The 24,085-nt window shown below is 42.6% G+C and overlaps 1 protein-coding gene across 15 annotated transcripts in view, besides 4 other annotated features; it reads left to right on the forward strand.

Moving 5' to 3' along the window:
• Positions 1 to 24,085, forward strand: part of ZNF331 (zinc finger protein 331) — a 77,035-nt gene that overhangs the window by 9,943 nt on the left and 43,007 nt on the right. For 6 of the 15 annotated variants that reach the window (XM_047439054.1, XM_047439050.1, XM_011527076.4 and 3 more), the window contains exons 1-2: positions 7,837 to 8,907; positions 9,440 to 9,507. The gene's annotated coding sequence lies outside the window, so the exon portion shown is untranslated. Of the gene's footprint in view, positions 1 to 20; positions 154 to 6,346; positions 6,473 to 7,836; positions 8,908 to 9,439; positions 9,508 to 24,085 lie in introns of those variants that run through there. The other 9 variants (XM_047439060.1, XM_047439053.1, XM_047439051.1 and 6 more) reach the window with 3 other exon arrangements.
• Positions 6,547 to 7,321: an enhancer, noted in NCBI's record as "H3K27ac hESC enhancer chr19:54022978-54023752 (GRCh37/hg19 assembly coordinates)". NCBI's record gives its function as "activates a minimal SCP1, AML or CMV promoter by ChIP-STARR-seq in naive H9 embryonic stem cells {active_cell/tissue: H9 hESC(naive)}" and the evidence as "EXISTENCE:reporter gene assay evidence [ECO:0000049][PMID:30033119]".
• Positions 7,322 to 8,095: an enhancer, noted in NCBI's record as "NANOG-H3K27ac-H3K4me1 hESC enhancer chr19:54023753-54024526 (GRCh37/hg19 assembly coordinates)". NCBI's record gives its function as "activates a minimal SCP1, AML or CMV promoter by ChIP-STARR-seq in naive H9 embryonic stem cells {active_cell/tissue: H9 hESC(naive)}" and the evidence as "EXISTENCE:reporter gene assay evidence [ECO:0000049][PMID:30033119]".
• Positions 7,586 to 7,785: an enhancer, noted in NCBI's record as "active region_15068". NCBI's record gives its function as "activates an Ori minimal core promoter by ATAC-STARR-seq in GM12878 lymphoblastoid cells {active_cell/tissue: GM12878}" and the evidence as "EXISTENCE:reporter gene assay evidence [ECO:0000049][PMID:35858748]".
• Positions 8,096 to 8,869: an enhancer, noted in NCBI's record as "H3K27ac-H3K4me1 hESC enhancer chr19:54024527-54025300 (GRCh37/hg19 assembly coordinates)". NCBI's record gives its function as "activates a minimal SCP1, AML or CMV promoter by ChIP-STARR-seq in naive H9 embryonic stem cells {active_cell/tissue: H9 hESC(naive)}" and the evidence as "EXISTENCE:reporter gene assay evidence [ECO:0000049][PMID:30033119]".

A 24,085-nucleotide genomic window follows, 5' to 3' on the forward strand; every position in this document is an offset into this window, starting at 1 on the left:
TCTGTCTGTCTGTCTCACAGTGTGTTTATCCGTGCATCATGAAGGACCCTCATACGGCTGACGTGCCTTGGCTGATGCGAATAACACTGCAGCAAGCGTGGGAGTGCAGATAGCTCTTGGAAATACCCATTTCCTTCAGACGCATACTCAGAGGTAGGATTGCTGGATTGTTTGGTCATTTTGATTTTTAAAATTAAAAAGAATTTTAATTCTCATATTGTTTTGAGTAAAATTAAATTATAACTTGTAAGGCAACTCCATGTTTTTTAGAATTTTTAAAAATATAATTGCTCTACCAATTGACTGTCCCAACAACAACGTACAGGGGTATTTTTTTTCCTCCGCATCCTCACCACTTGTTACCTTTTGTCTTTTTAATAATAGCAATCCTAAGACATGTGAAGTGATACCTCACTGTGATTTTGATTGGCATTTTCCAGATGATTAGTCTATTCAGGCCCTTTACTTTTTTTCGTTGTTGTTGTTGTTTTTGAGATGGATTCTCACTCTGTTGCCCAGGCTGGAGTGCGATGGCACGATCTCGGCTCACTGCAACCTCCGCCTTCCGGGGAGGCGTGATTAGCCGCCACACCTGGCTAATTTTTGTACTTTAGTAGAGATGAGGTTTCACCATGTTGGCCAGGCTGGTCTCAAACTCCTGACCTCAGGTGATCCACTATGCTTGGCCTTCCAAAGTGCTGGGATTACAGGTGTGAGCCACCACGCCCAGCCCCTTTGCTCATCTTTAATAGGGTTATTACTATTATCATATTTGCTTTTGAGTTGTGGGTGTTCCTTATATATTTTGGATATAAACTCCTTATCACGCATAGGGTATATATGGTTTAACATATTTTCTCCCATTATCATGCCCCAATATCACTAAGTTATATTTCACAGCTCCCTCTTGAACACCTGAAAAAATTCCTAATATATTTCCATGTGTCTGTATCCAGGTTATTGTGGTTTTTGCCTGAAAACACATTTATATATGCTGATATTCCCCAATAACTAATATATTTTTTCTCTGTTTTTTTTTGAGACGGAGTCCTGCTCTGTTGCCCAGGCTGGAGTGCAGTGGCACGATCTCAGCTCACTATAACCTCTGCCTCCCAGGTTCAAGTGATTCTCATGCCTCAGCCTCCCGAGTTGCTGGGATTACAGACACATGCCACCACACCCGGCAAATTTTTTTGTATTTTTAGTAGAGACGGGGTTTCACCATATCGGTCAGGCTGGTCTCAAACTCCTGACCTCAGGTGATCCACCCGCCTTGGCCTCCCGAAGTACTGGGATTACAGGCGTGAGCCACCGCGCCTAGCCCTAACTAATATATTTTAAATAACTTTTTGCTCTTGGCACATGGACTAAAACCACATCACTAGGCCTTCAATGACGTCCAATGTCTGCCATCTTATTTCCACTCCAGCTCCGCCCCAGGCATAGTTGCTTTTCTTTTTATTGAAGCCTTCTCCTTTTTTTTTTTTTTTTGAGACAGAGTTTCACACTGTCGCCCAGGCTGGAGTGCAGTGGCGCGATCTCGGCTCGCTGCAAGCTCCGCCTCCCGGGTTCACGCCATCCTCCTGCCTCAGCCTCCCGAGTAGCTGGGACTACAGAAGCCCGCCACCACGCCCGGCTAATTTTTTGTATTTTTAGTAGAGATGGGGTTTCACCATGTTAGCCAGGATGGTCTTGATCTCCTGACCTCCTGATTCACCCGCTTCGGCCTCCCAAAGTGCTGGATTACAGGCGGGAGCCATGGTGCCCCGCCAAAGCCTTCTCCTTGCCAAGTTAATTAAAGAGAATGTTTTCTTCATCAAATTAGAAATTACATCCTCAGAGAAGCTTTCCAGTATTTGTAGTTCTTACAGGCCACATTTATTACAAGTTTATAGACTCCAAACTTCTTCACTGAACAGTTAATAAAAAGGACACAGGCTTATTGTAAAATAATTCATTTAGTGCCTGCCATTCTGATTACACTAGAAATTTAGTTCTCCTGCTCCGCGTTCTGTTATGTGACTGTTCAATGCATTACTTAAAACTGCAAGATTGAATAGAGAGATCAGCTTCTAACATTGATGAATGCAAACCACAAGAAACCAAGTCTCCTCTGCAAAATGATGAAAACACTCGCAAAGTCACTAAAATCAATCATTTCAGACTTCTGAAATTTACCAAAGCCACAGAACAAAGTGAAAAGTATCTATCCCACAGAAAGTACCAAACTTCAGTAAGACAGCAGCATTTGTGTCATTTTAACATGGGCATTTCTGTCACCCTCCATCCTTCGTTCATTGTGGAGCACTGACTTTGTTTGGTTGGTTGTTTGTTTTTGAGACGGAGTTTCGTTCTTGTTGCCCAGGCTGGAGTGCAATGGCGCGATCTCGGCTCATTGCAACCTCCGCCTGCTGGGTTCAAGCAATTCTCCTGCCTCAGCCTCCTGAGTAGCTGGGATTACAGGCATGTGCCACCACGCCCGGCTAATTTTGTATTTTTAGTAGAGACGGGGTTTCTCTGTGTTGGTCAGGCTGGTCTCAAACTCCCGACCTCAGGTGATCCGCCTTCCTCGGCCTCCCAAAGTACTGGGATTACAGGCATGAGCCACTGTGCCTGGCTGCCCTGACTTCTTTCGAAGCTCCTTTTAAACCCTTTCTGTCTCCATCTTCATGTTCACCACAGTATTATTTGCTATGGCCAAGACACGGAAACAACCTAAATTTCCTTCAAAGGACAAATGGGTAAAGAAAATGTGATATATACACATTAAAATATTATTCAGCCATGAAAACACAGAAATTCTGCCATTTATGACAACAAGAAAAAAGCTGGTAGATGTTATGCCAAGAGAAATAAGGAAGACACAGAAAGAGAAATATTGCATGATATTCATTTCTTCATTTCTGGGGAGGCCTCAGAAACGAGGTCCTTACTAAGATGTGGCAGGCTAGTTTTGTATTTTAGACTGCTCATTAAAATATGTATTTATTGGGCCGGGCGTGGTGGCTCACACCCATAACGCCAGCACTTTGGGAGGCCGAGGTGGGCGGATCGCCTGAGGTCAGGAGTTCGAGACCAGCCTGGCTAACATGGTGAAACGCTGTCTCTACTAAAAATACAAAAATTAGCTGGGCATGGGGTGCGTGCCTTTAATCCCAGCTACTCAGGAGGCTGAGGCAGGAGAATCATTTGAACCCAGCAGGCAGAGGTTGCAGTGAGCCGAGATGGGCCACTGCACTCTGGCCTGGACAACAGAACGAGACTCCATCTCAAAAAAAAAAAAAAAAAGTATTAATTGCCTATGGTTTTAAAAAATGCAAGTAGTTTCTGAAGGATAAACTGAAGACTCTTAAACAGAGCACTTCTGTTTTCTGAGTCAACCTTTCTTGTTCAGAGAATGAAAAGATCCAGGATGCCTCACCTAACACCCAGGAGGGTCCCTGACTTCCTGATTCTAGGCCCTAAACCTATGTCCAAGAGAAAAGTTACATCTGTAGTCCAGAGCTTTTTAAATATAGTTATCCAGGCCCCTAAACAGCACAAGAAAATGGAAGCTAACTCCTTACAACTTGTGAAAGAGACAAAGTAGCTGCTGCTTTTTTGTTGCTTATTTTGGATTAATTAAAGTGACATCTTTTTTATTCTACTTTCTTATTTAAAAATTAAAAAACAGGTTGTGTTGACTTACACACTTCTCCATAAAAATACAATATATTGATTCAATATGAAATGTCTACTTTAGTGCCAGATAAATTGAGAATTTGTATACCAAATTTTAACAAATTTGATGTTCTCAAAAGAAACAGCATTATTCACTTTGTTTCAGATGAGACTGGGCTTATGTTCACAAGTACACACTCACAGAGATCTAATTCCACAGGCACACGTGGTAGAGTAGGCTAAGATCATCATGGACAGTAATGACTTGCAATGCCATTTGACAAATCCCCCAACAGAGCTCTGTAAAACCACTAGAAAACGCGCACAACAGCACAACCATCAAAATGAAAACACCTGATGTACAGAGTTGTATAGTAGTTGTATAGTTAGTAGTTGTATGGAGCACCCTTGACATAAGTAACTCCATCTTAGAAAAAGACTCCATCTTACATTTCATGGGGCACTTTGCCAACAGGGACAAGATGTTTTGCTTAGTAAATAAATAATAAGGACTGCATCCAAGCAGATAAGGACATAAACAAGCACATTCTTCCACTATCAGTCCTCCCCACAGGACTCTGGCCATAAAAGAAGCTGGGCTTCAGCAGCTCAAAACGGCCATCTTAACTGCCAACCATCCTGCTGTCATTTGTGATAAGCACTTGACATCTGCTGCCAAAGTTTCTACCCACATCAAAGATTCTTCTTTGCAAGATCAACAGACAACTCAGCCCAGACCAGGAGACTGTTTATGTCTTCATTACTCTCCCCACGCAGGTTCAAGTCTGCTGAGATTTGGTTTATCTCTGATTTATTAGGGAGAATTGGCTCACACGATCACAAGGCAAAGTCCCATGATAACCCATCTGCAAGCTGAGGAAGAAAGAAGCCAGTAGTGGCTCAGTCCAAGTCCAGAAGCCTCAGAAGCAAGGAAGCCAACAGTGCAGCCTTCAGCCTGTGGCCAAAGGCCCGAGAGCCCCCAGCAAACCACCAGTGGTCCAGAGATAACCAGGTCCACACACGTTTGTATCTTTCCACAGTGTCAGGCTTTGATTGATGCTATTTCAATCACAAAAGCCATGAGCCGCCTGGAGTTCCCAAAGAGGCTTGTGATGGTTAATATTAAGTGTCAACTTGATTGGATTGAAGGAAGCCTAGGCAGCTGGTAAAGGATTGTTTCTGGGTGTATCTGTGAGGGTGTTGCCAGAGGAGACTGATGTTTGAGTCAGTGGATGGAGAGAGGAAGACCCACCCTCGATGTAGGTGGACACCATGCAATTGGCTGCCAGCTCAGGTAGAACACAGAAGGCAGAAGAAGGTGGGATACCTTTGCTTGCTGAGTCTTCTGGCTTTCATCTTTCTCCCGTGCTGGATGCTTCCTTCTGCTTCTCCTGCCCTTGGACATCAGATTCCAGGTTCTTTGGTCTTTGGACTCTTAGACTTACACTGGTGGTTTGCCGGGGGCCCTGTGGCCTCTGGCCACAGGCTGACGACTGCACAGTTGGCTTCCTTGCTTCTGAGGCTTTTGGACTTGAACTGAGCCACTACTGGCTTCTTTTTTCCTCAGCTTGCAGATGGCCTATCATGGGACTGGGCCTTGTGATCGTCTAAGCCAATTCTCCCTAATAAACTTCCTTTCCTATAGACATATATCCTATTAGTTCTGTCTCTCTGGAGAACCCTGACTAATACAAGGCAATTCTCTTTGGTACTGCCCCTTCACTTGGTAGTCAGAGCCATAGACACGCAGGCTCAAGCCACTTCACAAGTCAGTCAATATTGCAAACCATACATAGTAGTGTACTTAATCAATATATATAAATGTTATAGATTAAACATTTCACAATAAACAAAGTAATGTTTAACATCAAGAGAAAAGAGATAGGAGAAAAGGGTTAACAAGTCAGTCCAAGGAGAGTAACAAAACCCTTGGTCAGGGCTGGGCAGGCCCATTGGTCTTGCAAGAAGTCTTTGAGGCTTCAGCAGCAGATGCCAAGTGCTCATCACAAATGACAGCAGGACGGTTGCAGTTAAGATGGTTATTTCAAGCCACTGAAGCCTTGCTCCTTTTATGGCCACAGAGTCCTCTGGGGAGGACAGATGGTGGAAGAATGTGCTTGTTTATATCCTTATCTGGTTGGATGCAGTCTTTATTATTTATTTATTAAGCAAAACATCTTGTCCCTGTTGGCAAAGTGCCCTGTGGAATGCAAGATGGAGTCTTTTTCTAAGATGGAGTTACTTATGTCAAGGGTACTCTATACAGTAGTCTTACCCACACGTTCATAGAAACATACAATCTCATCCATGTCATAATGAAGGCCAAAAACCTCACAGGCGCCCTCCCTTACCTGAGCTCCAGGAGGCTCCCTGATGAGTCCACACAATCACAAATCCAGTCACACCCACCAATGATTCTCTCCCAACAACAGCATATATTTTTTAGGGCAAAGCATCTCACACCCCAGTGTTTGTCTAAATTGCACCATTTCGGAAGCCCCCTGCTCTTTTGCAGACCTTGGTCAAAGTGAAACATTTCACAGGGGTTCAGGCAGTGAGAAATATCCTGCCTAACCACCTGACCACAAGGCGAACAAAGACCCAATTAAAGAAACATTCTCATCATGTCCTACTGGGCAAAGGCCCAACTACAAAAACCATCCCTATCATATCTTTCTTGGCAAAGGTCCAAGGAACATCCTGATGAGATCCCACCGGAAAAAGGGCCAAACCGCCTGATCATAAGAACATCTTGTCAATATCCTGCCGGGCAGCAAGCCATACAGCCCAGGCCTCTCCCGCCCATACCAAGGTAACACTCACAGAGACATCTGAAGAGCCAGGCAGTGCTCCCAAGTCTGGGACAGCATCAGAGAACGAAACGCAAAGTCCTGCCCTTACAGAGAGAGCCTTGGCACAGACCCAGTCAGGACCAGGTCACTCCCGTGGAACCTACTCAAGGTCCCTACACACATGCCTGGAGCTCCCCAATCTACTGGGGGGTGGGGGAAAGGGCAGTGCTGAAACGTCCCCAAAATCTCACATGTAAACACCCTACCTAACACTTTCTAGAGGCATTTCCAGCTCGGGGCTGTATTTCCAAGAACGCTCTGGAGGCACAGCTCTTTTCTAAGGAGGGCCATGTTGCATGCTGGGAAATTTTTGAACTTTTCCCAAATCACAGCTTTTAAGCTTTCCGGGCTTATTATTATTATTATTATTATTTTGAGACATTGTTTCACTCTTATCGCCCAGGCTGGAGTGCAGTGGTGTGATCTCGGCTCACTGCAACCTCTGCCTCCTGGGTTCAAGCGATTCTCTTCCCTCAGCCTCCCAAGTAGCTGGGATTACAGGCACACACCACCACGCCTGGCTAATTTTTGCATTTTTAGAGCGATGGGGTTTCACCATGTTGGGCAGGAGGGTCTCGAACTCCTGATCTCAGGTGATATACCCGCCTCGGCCTCCCAAAGTGCTGAGATTACAGGCGTGATTTCTGGTCGTTTCAGACTACATTTCCTTCCCAGAAGGACGCGGGGACACGCCTTCCCTATGGACGGATCCCAAATGCAAGTTGTAAGCAATTATAACTGTAGGCCCCTAGAGCCTGAACCACTTTTCCCAGGAATTTTTTGTGGTGCGCCTTAGGAGCAAGCAAAGTTTCAGGGCAGGAGAAGGCCGACAGGGCTTCCAGCATTTGAAGATTCTGCCAGTCTGAAATACGCTTTCCCAGAAGTCTATGGGGGGTGCAGCTGCTCTAACAGTGGGAGGAGACACCGACGAAAAGCATTCTGACGGCCGCGCTTCCAGCGCTAAGGATTCCCGCGTAGTGAGCATTTCCCAGAGGTCTCTGGGGCATGGCTCCATTAGGGCCGTGTGCAGTTGCCTGCAGGGAAACACTGATGGGCGCCCTTCCAGATACGTCGATTCCCGGGTTATGAGCTACATTTCCCAGAAGCCCTCAAGGCAGGACGCCCTTAGGGTCGCGTAGAGTTGCATGCTGGGAAATCCTGACAGCCGCTTCCAACTCTGTGGATTTCCGGGTTATGGACTACATTTCCCAGAGGCCTCTGGGTCACGGCTCCATTTGCGCCGTGTAGAGTTGCATGCTGGGAAACACTGACGGGCGCCCTTCCAGCTGCGTCGAAGCTTCTCTGGTTTCGCATTACATTTCCCAGAGGGCCTTGGGGCACAGTCCAATGAGGAGCGAGCCGGGTGGCCGGCTGAGGGGCGTGCTTCATGCTCGCGGGATTTTTAAAAATGGTTTCTCCTGGATCTTATCCCAACTGCGCCTGAGACCTTGTTTCACCTCCTGATGTGCTGGGTGTGGTTAGGCCTCGAGCCGGGAGCTATTTGCCTCCCAGGAGGAAGCCAGGGCAGGGTTCCGCGGGGAATGGCGGTGAGGGAGCCACTCGGGACGCGGAGGCCCTAAAATGAAGAAGCTTCGGCCTGAGGCTTCGGGAGCGGCGAGCAGGGAAGTGGGAGTGTGTGTGAGTGTGTGTGTGTGTGTGTGTGTGTGTGTGTGAATAAGCCAGAGGCTGCCTGGTGGGGCCCCGCCGTGGCCCAGTGACTGAGATAATTGTCTTCGTCTGTGGGGTAATGCGAACAAGCCCCGTTCCCCTAAGCCGTGATGCATGCGGGGTTGACGCGGCCGGGCTCTGTCCCCATAAACTGTGACACAGGTGTGTGTAGACGTCTATGAGGGCCATAGCGCCGGGCTGTAAGGGCATCTGTAGGGGTGACGCAGCCGGGCTGTGTCTCTGCACCTCCGTTCTGTGCGAGGTCAATGCTGGTGGGGTCTGCAGAGGTGGCACGGCCAGGACGGGTCTCCGTGTCTCTGAAATGTGCCTTTGCACTTCTGTCAGGTTGACAGGGACAGGCAGTGTCCCTCTGGTGTGAGCGTCTGTGGGTGTGAAAGGGCCAGCGAGTGTGCGGCTGTGACTGGTCGGGATCGGGCCTGGGTGCATGGCCTTTTGAGTGAGCACAGGTGTGTGCGACCATGTCACCTGTCTTTCTAGTGTCTCCGTTGCTTCCTGTGCCTTGGCCTTCCAGCCATGTGGTACCTGCTAGGGAGCAGTGGTCCCAAAGTGACGTGAGAGGCTCTACGCTATTGTGAAAATGACCAAGAAGAAGGCTTCACAAGTCACGAGATGGCAGTTTTGGAGCCAGAAGTGCTCTCCGTGCACACTACCTGGACGACAAGAGGAAGTAACCTCAAGAATAGAATTCCTTTTGGGGAAGAAAGAGGTACCTGACATGGGAGGCGGGGAGGTGGTGAGAGGGGCAGCTCCATGTTTCAGAACCCCAGTTCCTAGAGTTTTCCAGCATTTCTCTGAAAAACTCACATGCCTGTGCCCTCTTATTTCTGATTGATTTTAACTGTGGTCTGGGGACAAGTGTGCCCTATTTTCTTTCTTTGTTTTTTTTTTTTTTGAGACAGAGTCTTGCTCTGTCGCCCAGGGCTGGAGTGCAGTGGTGCGATCTCGGTTCCCAGGTTCAAGCGATTCTCCTGCCTCAGCCTCCCAAGTAGCTGGGACCACAGGCGCACGCCACCATGCCCAGCTAATTTTTGTATTTTTAGTAGAGACGGGATTTCACCATGTTGGCATAGGTGATCTCGATCTCTTGACTTCATGATCCGCCCCCGTCGGCTTCCCAAAGTTCTGGGATTACAGTTGTGAGCCACCGCGCCTGGACGTGTGCGCTATTTTCTAACGTAGCTTGTGATCCAGAAAGGTCCTGGTGCCTCATTCTTATCTTCCTTTTCCCCTCCGGCCAGCTGGCCTTCAGGAAAAGCATCCCGGAGGAGGAAGAAGAAGTGTTATATGTCCTAAAGTAAGGTTTCAGGTGAGTTAGCTTTTTGTTCATTCAATGATTTGTATTTATACAACTTAAGACTATTTACTTTCCTTGGGCCCATTTCTTCCCAAATAGTCATTTATCCCACTAATTCCTCCCCAAGGGATGTGACAGGGCGGTGCAGGTCATTCCTCCGTGTATACTCCATTGACCTACCCTCTTCTAAAATGTCTAAAAATTGTCTAAGAATCTGATGGTACAGAAGAGATTAATTCTAACACTTTATATTACAGTGTGGTTTGGTAAGGAAGGGATTTATTTTTGGGTGGAAGGAAACACCAGATATCTTTGGTCTTTTGTTTATTTTTTATTATTGTAGTTATTTTTTAACATGGTTAATTTTTTAAATTTTTATATAATTGGCAAATGACAAATTGTATTTATTGTGTATATGTTTTTATATATATGTATACATTATGAGATGATTAAATCAGGCTGATGAACATATCCATCACCTCACTAATTATTATTTTTGTCATGAGGACATTTAAACTCTACTCTCTTAGCAATTTTCAAATATACTATATTTTTTTTTTATTTTTTTTTTCTTTTGCCCTTGTCCCCCAGGCTGGAGTGCAATGGCATGATCTCAGCTCACTGGAACCTCTGCGTCCTGGGTTGCAGCGATTCTCCTGCCTCAGCCTCCCAAGTAGCTGGAATTATAGGCACCCACCACCATGCCTGGCTAATTTTTGTATTTTTAGTAGAGACGGGGTTTCATCATGTTGGCCAGGCTGGTCTCAAACTCCTGATTTCAAGTTATCTGCCCGCCTCAGCCTCCCAAAGTCCTGGGATTACAGGTGTGAGCCACCATGCCCTGCCTTTGTCCCAATTTTTAATCAAATTTTTTTTTCACACTCTTGAGTTGTGTGAGTTTCTTATATATCGTGAATATTAACTGCTTGTCAGATGTATGGTTTGCAAATATTTCCTTCTACTCCATAGGTTCTGTCTTCACTCTGTTGATTGCTCTGCTGTGCATAAGTTTTTTAATGATGCAATTCATTTGTCTGTTAGCCACCATGCCCAGCCTTGATTTCTTTTTCAAATAGTTGTTAGTCTATAGGGATACTATTTTTTTTTTATACTTTAAGTTCTAGGGTACATGTGCACAATATGCAGGTTTAATCCATAGGTATACATGTGCCATGTTGTTTTGCTGCACCCATCAACTCGTCATTTGCATTAGGTATTTCTCCTAATGCTATCCCTCCCCCAGCCCCCCAACTCCGACGGGCCCTGGTGTGTGATATTCACCACCCTGTGTCCAATTGATCTCATTGTTCAGTTCCCACCTATGAGTGAGAACATGCGGTGTTTGGTTTTCTGTCCTTGTGATAGTTTGCTCAGAATGATGGTTTCCAGCTTCTTCCATGTCCCTGCAAAGGGCATGAACTCATCCTTTTTTATGGCTGCATAGTAATCCATGGTGTATATGTGCCACATTTTCTTAATCCAGTCTGTCATTGATGGACATTTGGGTTGGTTCCAAGTCTTTGCTATTGTGAATAGTGCCACAGTAAACATATGTGTGAATGTGTCTTTATAGTACCATGATTTATAATCTTTTGGGTATATACCCAGTTATGGGATTGCTGGGTCAAATGGTATTTCTAGTTCTAGATTCTTGAGGAATCGCCACACTGTCTTCCACAATGGTTGAACTAATTTACACTCCCACCAACAGTGTAAAAGTGTTCCTGTTTCTCCACATCCTCTCTAGCATCTGTTGTTTCCTGACTTTTTAATGATTGCCATTCTAACTGGTGTGAGATGGTATCTCATTGTGGTTTTGATTTGCATTTCTCTGATGACCAGTGATGATGAGCATTTTTTCATGTGTCTGTTGGCTGCATAGATGTCTTCTTTTGAGAAGTGTCTGTTCATATCCTTGGCCCACTTTTTGATGGGGTTTTTTGTTTTTTTCTTGTAAATTTGTTTGAGTTCTTTGTAGATTCTGGATATTAGCCCTTTGTGAGATAGGTAGATTGCAAAAATTTTCTCCCATTCTGTAGGTTGTCTGTTCCTTCTGATAGTAGTTTCTTTTGCTGTTCAGAAGCTCTTTAGTTTAATTAGATCCCATTTGTCTATTTTGGCTTTTGGTGCCATTGCTTTTGGTGTTTTAGTCCTGAAGTCCTTGCCCATGCCTGTGTCCTGAATGGTATTGCCTAGGTTTTCTTCTAGGGTTTTTATGGTTTTAGGTCTAATATTTAAGTCTTTAATCCATCTTGAATTAATTTTTATATAAGATGTAAGGAAGGGATCCAGTTTCAGCTTTCTACATATGGCTAGCCAGTTTTCCCAGCACCATTTATTAAAAACGGAATCCTTTCCCCATTTCTTGTTTTTGTCAGGTTTGTCAAAGATCAGATGGTTGTAGATGTGTGGTGTTATTTCTGAGGCCTCTGTTCTGTTCCATTGGTCTATATCTCTGTTTTGGTACCATTACCATGCTGTTTTGGTTACTGTAGCCTTGTAGTATAGTTTGAAGTCAGGTAGTGTGATGCCTCCAGCTTTGTTCTTTTTGCCTAGGATTGTCTTAGCAATGCGGGCTCTTTTTTGGTTCCATATGAACTTTAAAGTAGTTTTTTCCAATTCTGTGAAGAAAGTCATTGGTAGCTTGATGGGGATGGCATTGAATCTATAAATTACCTTGGGCGGTATGGCCATTTTCACGATATTGATTCTTCCTGTCCATGATCATGGAATTCCATTTGTTTCCTCTTTTATTTTGTTGAGCAGTGGTTTGTAGTTCTCCTTGAAGAGGTCCTTCACATCCCTTGTAAATTGGATTCCTAGGTATTTTATTTTCTTTGTAGCAATTGTGAATGGGAGTTCACTCATGATTTGGCTCTCTGTTTGTCTGTTATTGGTGTATAGGAATGCTTGTGACTTTTGCACATTGATTTTGTAAGGGATACTATTGATTTTTTAATGTTGACGTTGCATACTACAACTTTACTGAATTCATTTATTATTTCTAGTCATTTTTTGATGGAGCTTTTAGGGTTTTTTATATGTATAAGATCATGTCATCTGCAAACAGGAACAGTATAACTTCTTCACTTCCTATTTGATTGGCTTTTCTTTTTGTTGCCTAATTGCTCTGCCTAAGGCTTCTAGTACTACATTGATTAGAAGTGGTAAGAGTGGGAATCCTCGTCTTGTTCCTGATATTTCAACTTTTCACCATTGATTATGATGTTAGCTATGTGCTTGTGTTATATCACCTATATTATATTGAGGTACATTCCTCAATACCTAATCTGTTGAGAGTTTTTGTTAGGAAAGCCTGTTGAATTTTGTCAGATGCTTTTTCTGGATCTATTGTGATGATCATATGGATTTTATCCTTCATTCTGTTAATGTGCTATATCAGATTTATAGATTTGTATATGTTGAACCATCCTTGCATTCCTGGGATAAATCCCGCTTGATCATGTTGAATGATCCTTTTTATATGCTACTGAGTTCAGTTTGCTAGTATCTTGCTGAGGATTTTTGCTTTTAGGTTTATCAAAGGTACTGGCCGGTGATTTTTCTTGTCTTGCAGTGTCCTTGTTGGGTTTGGTCATGCTGTTCTTATAAAATGGGCTTGGAGATAGTCCCTTCTCTTGGATTTTCTGGAAGAGTTTGAGAAGCATTGTATTAGGTCTTCGAATGTTTGGTAGAATTCAGCAGTGAGGGCATCAGGTTCTGGTCTTTCATGGGAGATATTTATTGCTTATTCAACCTCCTTACCTGTTGTTAGTGTGTTCAGATTTTGTATTTCTTCATGATTCAATCTTGATAGATTATATATTACTAGGAATTTATTCATTTCTTCTACATTATTCAATTTTTTGGCGTAGAAATTTTTTTTTTCTTTTTTTTTTGAGACGGAGTCTCGCCCTGTCACCAGGCTGGAGTGCAGTGGTGCGATCTTGGCTCACTGCAAGCTCCGCCTCCCAGGTTCACGCCATTCTCCTGCCTCAGCTTCCCGAGTAGCTGGGACTACAGGCGCCTGTCACTGTGCCTGGCTAGTTGTTTGTATTATTAGTAGAGACGGGGTTTCACCATATTAGCCAGGATGGTCTCGATCTCCTGACCTCGTGATCCGCCCACCTCGGCCTCCCAAAGTGCTGGGATTACAGGCGTGAGCCACCGCGCCTGGCCCGGGAACTAATTTTTTTTATACCAGGCCTGCATTGATTGCATTATAAGAAATATAACTTGCTGGGCGCAGTGCCTCATGCTTGTAATCCAGCACTTTAGGAGGCCAAGGCAGGCGGATCACGAGGTCAGGAGTTTGAGACCAGCCTGACCAACATGGTGAAACCCCGTCTCTACTAAAAATACAAAAATTAGCCAGGCATGGTGGCATGTGCCTGTAATCCCAGCTACCCAGGAGGCTGACACAGGAGAATCACTTGAACCCGGGAGTTGGAGGTTGCAGTGAGAGCCGAGATTGTGCCTGGGTGACAGAGCGAGACTCCATCTTAAAAAATAAAAAAAAGGAAATATAACTTAAGGAAGTCCTGAATTTAAAAAAATGATTACTCAAGGTAAAAAAATCAGAGTTATGAAGGTGCTGGTACCTTGTAGTTATTAATAAATGTTTGAATGGATAGGCTTGTGGGAAGCATAACAAGTGTATCTCAAAAATGTCCACACCCTAATTCATGAATGCAGGAATATGTGATGTTGCACGGCAAGGGAAATTTCAGTTGTAGATGGACTGAAGTTATTAATCAGCTAACCTTAAGATAGGGAGATTATCCTGAATTGTGCCAGTGGGCCCAATGTAATCACAGGGTATTAGAAGTAGATGAGGGGTGCCAGAAGAAGAGAAAGAGGTGAGGATTTACTGTTAACTGTATTTACTGTTAACATTTTGTTAACAGGTATGTGTCCTGTCTCCCACTCCCCCACTAAACACGTGTGTATGTTTGTTTCTGGAACATTAAATCCTGCTAATTGATCATGTAGATGAGTTAAAGACTCTTCAAATCTTAGTTTGTGAAAGAAATCCAACCCAGCCATGGGTCACATTACATTTGTGTACATGTGGAGAAGAGAGAGGCAGGCCAGTTATCTTTCTCTTGCTTTGAAAGGCTTCACGTTTACACCTTATAGAATTAGAGATACGCCATTTCAAACTAATCCCATGACAGCAGATTATCAAGAAAGCCTTTCAGAATTAGATTTTCTATGATTTTAATGTTTCTTTGACAGAGAATGATAATCAGTGATATCTGATGCCTTCCAAATATACACAAGTAACATTTCCATGATTATATGTACAAGTAACAAATCCAAGGTATATGAAATCCAAATATATGAAATGACTAAGATGGCAACAATTTGAAATAATTACACGAATCTCCCATATCACATAGAACACATGATTCAGTCTCTTGCTAATATTCTTGATTTGGTATCTCTTCTCAGATTAGATTCTTTAAACTTGATTTCTGATGCAGAATCATGTCTCTATTTCCCTAGTTGCTGGTAAAGAGGGAACATTTTCTTACGTGTCTTAGAATCGTTTTTGCTAATTCTGCTGATTCAAATAAATTCATGCTTAACATCAGGCTTGGAAAGTTATTTTTAGTTAGCATTCATGATATTGATAGCTGATTGAGAAGCACATATTTTAGCATAAGAAAACAGCAGCCTCATGTTTCTTTTCTAAAAATGGATTAAGGGATATGTAATGTCAGTGATCTTTAATAAAAACAGCTAACTTATGTAAAGTAATTGTTATGTATTACTATGTTTTATGTAGATTATCTTACTTGATAATTGAGATAGCCATATCTCATGGTATTTATATTCCAGTTTCACCAGTGAGGAAAAAGACACTGCGAGGTTAGTAACTGTCAGAGTTCAGAATCACACCCTGAAAGTTGTACTGCAGAGCCTGTGTTCTTAATTTCTCCAAAGTACCTCTGCCCAAATTACATGTACCTTTTTAAATCTACTTTCTTCATTTGGTAATACATCATAAATGCTTTCTCAATTATATGGATCAGTATCACTAGTAAATGTATTTTATGTCATGATATAGCAGATCATAATTTATTTAATCTGTCCTCTACTGTCAGATATTTCTTTTTTTTTTTCTGAGACAGAGTCTCGCTCTGTTGCCCAGGCTGGAGTGCAGTGGCGCAATCAGAGCCCACTGCAGCCTCCGCCTCCCAGGTTTGAGCGATTCTCCTGCCTCAGCCTCCCGAGTAGCTGGGACTACAGCTGCCTGTCCCCACGCCTGGATGATTTTTTTGTATTTTTAGTAGAGACGAGGTTTCACAATGTTGGCCAGGCTGCTCTCAAACAACTGACCTCAGGTGATCCGCCCACCTTGGCCTCCCAAGGTGCTGGGATTACAGGCATGAGCCACCGCACCCAACCTATTTTTTTGATTTTTTTAAAATTATTCTCTGAAGGCTGGGCGTGGTGGCTCACGCCTATAATCCCAGCGCTTTGGGAGCTGAGGCGGGTGGATCACGAGGTCAGGAGATCGAGACCATCCTGGCTAACACGGTGAAACCCCGTCTCTACTAAAAATACAAAAATTAGCCGGGCGTGGTGGTAGGCGCATGTAGTCGCAGCTACTCAGGAGGCTGAGGCAGGAGAATGGCGTGAACCCGGGAGGTGGAGCTTGCAGTGAGCCGAGATCATGCCACTGCACTCCAGCCTGGGCGACAGAGCAAGACTCTGTCTTTTAAAAAAAAAAAAAAAATTATTCTCTGGAGAAGTGGAATAATATCAATTGATTGCATCAATGACAGTGTCCTAGTTGTGGTATTACACTGTAGTTCAATCATCATTGGTATAAATCAGGTAAAAGGTAAACAGGATCTCTCTCGCTGTATTGTTTCTTACAACTGCATGTGAATCTTTATCTCCATTCTAAAGAAAATTCACAGAGAAAAAATTCCCTGAATATTCTTGCACAAACAATTGTGTATGACTATAGCTGTGTCCTTCAGATAAATTTTGAAAACCAGTATTTTGAGTCAAAATCAAGACTTGTTAAGTGTCTGCAGTACGCCAAACTCTGTGATATTAGCACGAAGAATGAGAGAATAACTAAAAGGACACAGCTGCTACCTGTATGTTGTCTATAACCCAGCAAGGAGGGGAAACTGAGTAGAAGCAGCTCAGGGCAGCCTGTGATCACGGACTGTGGGGAATTCCAGGTGATGTACCTTGAGAGGTGCTAGGAAGGGAACATCATTCTGACAGCACCCGCTCGGGTAGGCCATTCTTGCATTGCTATCAAGAAATCCCTGAGACTGGGTCATTTATAAAGATTATATTGGCTCATGCTTCTGAAGGCTGAAAAGGAAGCATGGTATCGACATCTGGCATCCACTTGGCTTCTAGGGAGGCCTCAGGAGCTTTTACTCCACTTTACTTGGAAGGTGAAGTGGGAGCAGGCACGTCACATGGCAAAAGGAGGGGTAAGGTTGGGACACAGCGCTGGCGGGAGGTGCGGGGGATGCCATGTACTTTTAAATGACCAGATTTTGCAAGAACTCACTCACCATGGCCAAGACATGAGGGATCTGCCTCCATAACCCAAACACCTCCCACCAGGCCGCACCTCCAGCACTGGGGATGACAGTTCACCTCCCACCAGGCCCCACCTCCAGCACTGGGGATGACAGTTCACCTCCCACCAGGCCCCACCTCCAGCACTGGGGATGACAGTTCAACTGGAGATTTAGACGGGGCAAGTATTCAAGCCATACCGCCCACGGATGTCGATTTATAACCAAATAATTCTGAATTCACAGGTTCCATGTGTAGGTAAATACAATTTGTTTTATAACTTGTATTTTTCTAATAATGTTTGATGCAAAGGGAAGACCAATAGGGTAAGGCGAATTAATGCTTGTCTGCTGGGCCATCATGGCTTGAAGGACAAGTTCAGAGGTAAAATTCACACTCCCCTCAGACGTAAAAGGAAGCAGCCTCAAAACAACTGTCGGTATGTACAGGGCATCACTTGGCATTTTGGCCATTTTTCCAGTCAGTGCTCCAGCACATGTGGAAATATGTGTCTGTGTGTGCATGTACATTGGCATCCGCAGGGGTAACCGGGACCTGATGTGTGAGTAGAAGACGCACTTGCGTGGGCGTGTGTGGGGTTGATGTGCCAGCTCTGTCCCCATAATTGTGACAGGTGTGCGAGTATCTTGGGGGCAATGGGACCCATGCAGGGTGACCATCCTTACAGAGGGAGGTCAGCTACACAGTCTATAACCCCAGTTAATACAATGTAGACCCCAGGAATCTCTGAAACACTCTGATCCCAGTGCCCTCTGACTTCTGATTGTCATAGATATGGCCTGAGGGCAGCTGTGCCTTATGAGGTATTTTCTAATGTAGGCTGCGCACCTAGAAAGACCCTAGCTTCTCAGTCTTATCCTCCTCTTTCCCCTAAACCAACATTCTTACGAAAAAGCACGCCTTGAGAGGAGGAATCATTTACCCATCTTAAAATCAAGGTTCAAGTGAGTTACGTTTTATTCATTAAATGATTAGCGTTTATAAGACAGGACTATTTACTTTCCTTGCCCCTAAATATTCTCACTATAACAACTTATCCCGGTCATCCTTTCCAAAGAGGTGTTGGGGGTTCATACAGGGATATCCCTCAATGTACTCCCCATTGACCAAGTCTCTCTTCTGAATGTTATTCATGTGCCTCTTTGGCAAACTGTGTAGCTTTTTCTGTGTGCTCTGCTCTTCTAAGAATCTGATGATATAGAAAAATATACCTCCTGGAGCTTAACATTAGTGCGTGATATTAGAATGTGGTTTGCTAAGGAAAAGATTCGTTTTTAAGTGGAATCAAACACCACCTATCTTTAGTCTTTTCCCTAAGCCTGATTTTCATATCACAGCCAGAAAGTAGATCGTTTGAGTACGTGACAAGGTTGTCAGCTTTGTGAGGCTTTTAAGAGTGGAGTTTGAGCAAACTTCTGTGTCATCAAAGGCATAAATGTTTTCCAAGTAATCAATAAATTGAAATTTTTTCTGTTTACTAGATTTTCTTTGAAGCTGACAGCCTCAGAGTTGTTTTTTTCCACTTGCTTTGTGTGCACAGTGAGAAGCAATGTGGTTTGATTTTGAGTATGAGTTCTGGATCTAGGACAGAGTTGGCAAATTTTTTTCTGTAAAACGTTCAGCAGTAAAGGGATTTATGGGCCACATATAGTTCTGTATTTTTCTTCTTTTTATTTATTTATTCGGATTATTGTTGTTTTGTTTATTAAAATGACATCCTTTATTTTTTATTTTTATTTGATAAATAACAAATTATGTGCTTATTATGTACAACATTATGTTTTGATATGTGTGTGCATTATGGAGTGATGAAACCAAAGTGAATAACATACCCTTCACCTTACTAGTTATCATTTTTGTGATTAGAACATTTAACATCTCTCAGCAATTTTCAAATATACATTGTTATTCATTATAGTCACCAGGTTATAAAATAGATACGCAGAATTTATTCCTCCTCTCTAGCCTTTGTAGCCATTCATCTCCCTATTCCCACCCCTGTCCCAGCCTCTGGTAACCATCATTCCACTCTTTGCTTCTATGAGTTCAGCTTTTTGACACTTAAATAGGTGAGATAATGCAGGTGGACCTTTCTATGCCTGGCTTATTTCACTTAATATGATGTCCTCTAGGTTCACCCATGTTATCACAAATGACTGGATTTTCCTGGTTTTTAAGGCGAATAGTATTTAATTGTGATATATGCCACATTTTCTTTACCCATTCCTCTACAGATTAACATGTAGGTTGATTTTTTTTTGTTTCCCCCTGGGGTATTGTGAATAATACTGCAGCAACTTGGGAGCATTCCTTCCTCTACAACTTTTTGGAAGAGTTTCAGAAGAATATTTTGTGAATATTTGGTAGAATACAGCAATGAAGCCATCATCAAGTCCTGGGCTGTTCTTTGATCAGAAATTCTGTATTATTTGTTCAATCTTTTTACTCATTACTGATGTGTTCAGATTTTTCTGTTTATTCATGATTCCATCTTGGTAGGTTGTGTGTTTCTAGGAATTAATCTTCTAGGTTATCCAACTTTTTTGGCATCTAATTGTTCATTGTAGTCTCTCACGATTCTTTGTATTTCTGTGGTATGAGTTGTAATGTCTCCATTTTCATTTCTGATTTTATTGATTTTTGAGTCTTCCCTTTTTTGTCTTTGAAAGTCTCATGGTTTTTCAATGTTGTTTATCTTTTCAAAAAATCAACTCTTAGTTTCATTAATCTTCCCATATTGTTTATTTAGTCTCCATTTATTTTTATTCCGACTTTTATTATTCCTTTCATTACTATGAGTGTCATTTGTTCTTTTTCGAGTTCCTTGAGAAGTAATGTTTGTTTAAGGTCTTTCTCCTTTCTTAATGTAGGTGTTTATTGCTATAAACTTCCCTCTTAGAACTGCTTTTCCTGCGTTTCTCAAGATTTGGTATGTTGTTTCCTTTTGCATTTATTTCAAAATATTTTTAAATTAAACTTTTAACTTCTTCCTTGACCTACTGGTACTTATCATGTTGTTTAATTTCCACATATTTGTGAATTTACCTAAATTCCTCCTGTTATTGATTTCTAGCTTAATACCACTGTGGTTGAAAAGATGCTTGATAGGATTTCAGTTGCCTTAAATTTCTTAAGACCTGTTATTTGGCCTAATATGTTATCTGTCCTGGAGAATCTTTCATGTGTGCTGGAGAAGAATATGTATTCTGCTGCTGTTGGGAGGGATGCTCTGTATACATCTGATAAGTCCATTTGGTCTAAAGTAAAATTCAATTCCAGTGTTTCCTTATTGATTTTCTGCTGAATAAGTTGTCCTTTGTCGAAAGTAGGATTTGAAGTCCCCTTCAATTATTGTATTGCAGTCTGTTTGTCCCTTCAGATCTTATAATGTGTGCTTTATATATTTACACGATCCAATGTTGGGTACATACATATGTACAATTGATACATCTTCTTCATGAATTGATCCCTTTATAATTCTATAATGACTTTCTTTCTCTTCTTATAGTTTTTGACTTAAATTCTATTTTGTCTGATATACGTACAGTTGACCCTTGAACAACATGGAGCTGGGGCGACAACTCACCATGCAGTCAAAACTCCACATTTAACTTTTGACTCCCTAAAAATGTAATAGCCTACTGTTGAATGGAAGCCTTATTGATTACATAAAGTAGATTAACACAAATATAGAATGGTATATGTGTTATATGCAATACTCCTACAATAAAGTAAGCTAGAGAAAAGAAAATGTTATTAGGAAAATATGCCAGGCATGGTGGCTCATGCCTGTAATAGCAGCTGTTATAGCAGCCAAAACGGACTAAGACAACTGTATTGCTGAGACACAGTGAAAGGTCATTCAAGATCAGGGGGTGACATCTTAAGTCCTAGAAGTCAAAAGTCTAAAGTGGGTCTCACTGGGCTAAAACCAACATGTTGAAGACTGTGTTGCTTTTTGGAGGCTCTAGGAGGCATTCTCTTTCATGGCCTTTCCCAGCTTCTAGAGGCTGCCCAGATTAGCTCATGACCCCATCCTACTTTTTTTTTTTGATACAGAGTCTCACTCTGTTGCCTGGGCTGGAGTGCAGTGGCACCATCTCAGCTCACTGCAAACTCCACCTCCCAGATTCAAGCGATTCTTCTGCCTCAGCATCCTGAGTAGCTGGGATTACAGGCATGCACCACCACACTCGGCTAATTTTTGTATTTTTTTAGTAGATGGGGTTTCACCAGTTGGCCAGGCTGGTCTCGAACTCTTGACCTCAAGTGATCCGCCCACCTCGGCCTCCCAAATGCTGGGATTACAGGTGTGAGCCACTGCGTCCAGCCCTATCCTACACCTTTAAACCCAGAAAAGACAAGTCAAGTTCTTCTTGTATCACCTCATTCCCCACCTGTTTCTGTCATCACATGTTTCTCTTCTTCAGAACTCCCTCACCTACTTTTAAGGAACTTTGTAATTGCACCAGGCCCACCTAGATAATTCAGGGTAATCTCCGTATCTGAAGGGTGGCTGGTTAGCAATTTAAGTCCATCTGCAACCTTCTTTATCTTGCCTTGTAACATAACATATTCCCAGGTTCCAGATGTAGGATGTGGATATATTCTGCCAGTAACAGGCCTGTCCATCAAACTTTCCTGAATAGCTAGAATGTACCCACTCCCCTATAACAATGGTCTGTTTTCCTTACTAATCTTTTTTTAAATTTGGGGCTCCCTATAATTATATACTTTATAATGGGATTAATGAAAGCCTGTAACCAAAAAAAAAAAAAAAAAAAAATTATTCCCCTAAGAAGCACACAAAGAGGAAACTAAAAATTACCCTTATTTATTTATTTATCTATTTATTTATTAAGACAGAGTCTTGCTTTTGTTGCCCAGGCTGGAGTGCAATGGTACAAGCTCGGCTCACTGCAACCTCTGCCTCCCGGGTTCAAGAGATCTGCCTCAGCCTCCTGAGTAGCTGGGATTACAGGTGTCTGCCACACATTCAGCTAATTTTTGTATTTTTAGTAGAGATGGGGTTTCGCCATGTTGGCCAAGGCTGGTCTCGAACTCCTGGCCTCCAGTGATCCACCTGCCTTGGCCTCTCAAAGTGCTGGGGTTACAGGTGTAAGCCACTGTCCGGCCGTAATTACCCATATTTATACCATCTAAAGATAATTACTGTTAACACTTAGTATGTATGTTTACTGTCTTCCCCTCCACCTCTAAGCATGTGTGTGTTTTGTTTCTGGAACATTGAATCCTATTAATCATGTAAATGAGGCAAAAACTCTCCAAATCATAGTTTGTAAAAGAAATCCAGCCCAACCACGGGTCACATTATGTCTGTGTGCATGTGGAGAGAAGAGAGATACCAGTCATGTTTCCTTGCTTTGAAAAATTAATCATTGATGAATATGAAAATAGTCACTGGATACCTTACAAATATGGACTTTGGAAATATTCCCAAGGTTATATGTGCAAGTAACGAATATTGACTGTAACATTTCAAAGGTATATGAAATAGAATGAGATAGCACTAGTTTAAAATGTTCACTTTTTTTTTTTTTTTCTTTTTTGAGATGAAGTCTTACTCTGTCACCCAGGCTGGAGTGCAGTGGCGCAATCTTGGCTCACTACAACCTCTGCCTCCCAGGTTCAAGCGAATCTCCTGACTCAGCCTCCTGAGAAACTGAGATTACAATCTCACCACCATGCCCGGCTAATTTTTGTATTTTCAGTAGAGACAGGGTTTCACCATGTTGCCCAGGTTGGTCTTGAACTTCTGACCTCAAGTGATCCGCTCACCTTGGCTTCCCAAAGTGCTGGGATTACAGGTGTGAGCCACTGCACCTAGCTGATAAGAATCTTTAAACTAGATTTTTTAAGGAACTATCATGTCTCTGTCTCCCTAGTTAAAAGGAAATAGCAGACTTGTTACTTTTATGAAAATGGATTGAGATATGTTACTGATTTTTTAGTAATAACAGCTACCTTATCTTAATTGTTATATATGACTGTGTGTTTCATGTGGATGATCCTGTTCAAACAGTCATACATTGTACTATCTTTCTTGTGGTTTTACCAGTGAGGAAACTTTACCACACTGTGAAGTTAATAACTATCAGAGCTCAGATTAACACCCTCAAATCAGACCACAGAGCCTGTGTTAATTTCACCAAAACATGTCTGCTCAAATTATATGTACCATTTTAACCTACCCTTTTCCCTTGTTGATTCTTCAGAAGTTTTCTTAATTAATGAGTCAGTATTATTAGGAAATGTACTCTATGTCATTGTATAACAGACCATGGTTTAATCTGATTTTCCTTTATCCTCCACTGCAAGATTTTCATTTTTAAAAATTATTCTCGACTGGGTGTGGTGGCTCACGCCTGTAATTCCTGCACTTTGTGAGGCCGAGGCAGGCGGATCACCTGAGGTCGGGAGTTCGAGTCCAGCCTGACCAACATAGAGAAACCCCGTCTCTTCTAAAAATACAAAAAAAATTAGCCGGGCGTGGTAGCGCATGCCTGTCATCCCAGCTACTGGGGAGGCTGACGCAGGAGAACCCCTTGAACCCAGGAGGCGGAGGTTGCAGTGAGCCGAGATCGCACCATTGCACTTGAGCCTGGGCAACAAGAGCGAAACTCCGTCTCAAAACAAACAAACAAACAAACAAAAAATTATTCTCTGGAAATTCTGGGTAACGTCAGTGGATTACATCAATGTTAATCTTCTGGTTGTGGTATTATATACTACAATCACCAGCTGAGGTAACCAGGTGAAAGGTACACAAGATCTCTCAATTTTATTTCTTGTAACTACATATGAATCTAAAGTCTATCTAATTAAAAGAGAAAAAGATTTTCAGAAAAAAAGCATTTTGTGAACATACTTCAACATTGTGTACAACTATAGCTACTTCCTTGGCATAAATACCAAAAAGTGGGATTTTGAGTCAAAATGAGACTGTGGTTAAGTACCTGCAACATCCTGTAGACCCTGTGACGTTAGT

The sequence above is a fragment of the Homo sapiens genome, chromosome 19, assembly GCF_000001405.40.
Source record: "Homo sapiens chromosome 19, GRCh38.p14 Primary Assembly".
NCBI classification, from domain to species: domain Eukaryota; kingdom Metazoa; phylum Chordata; class Mammalia; order Primates; family Hominidae; genus Homo; species Homo sapiens.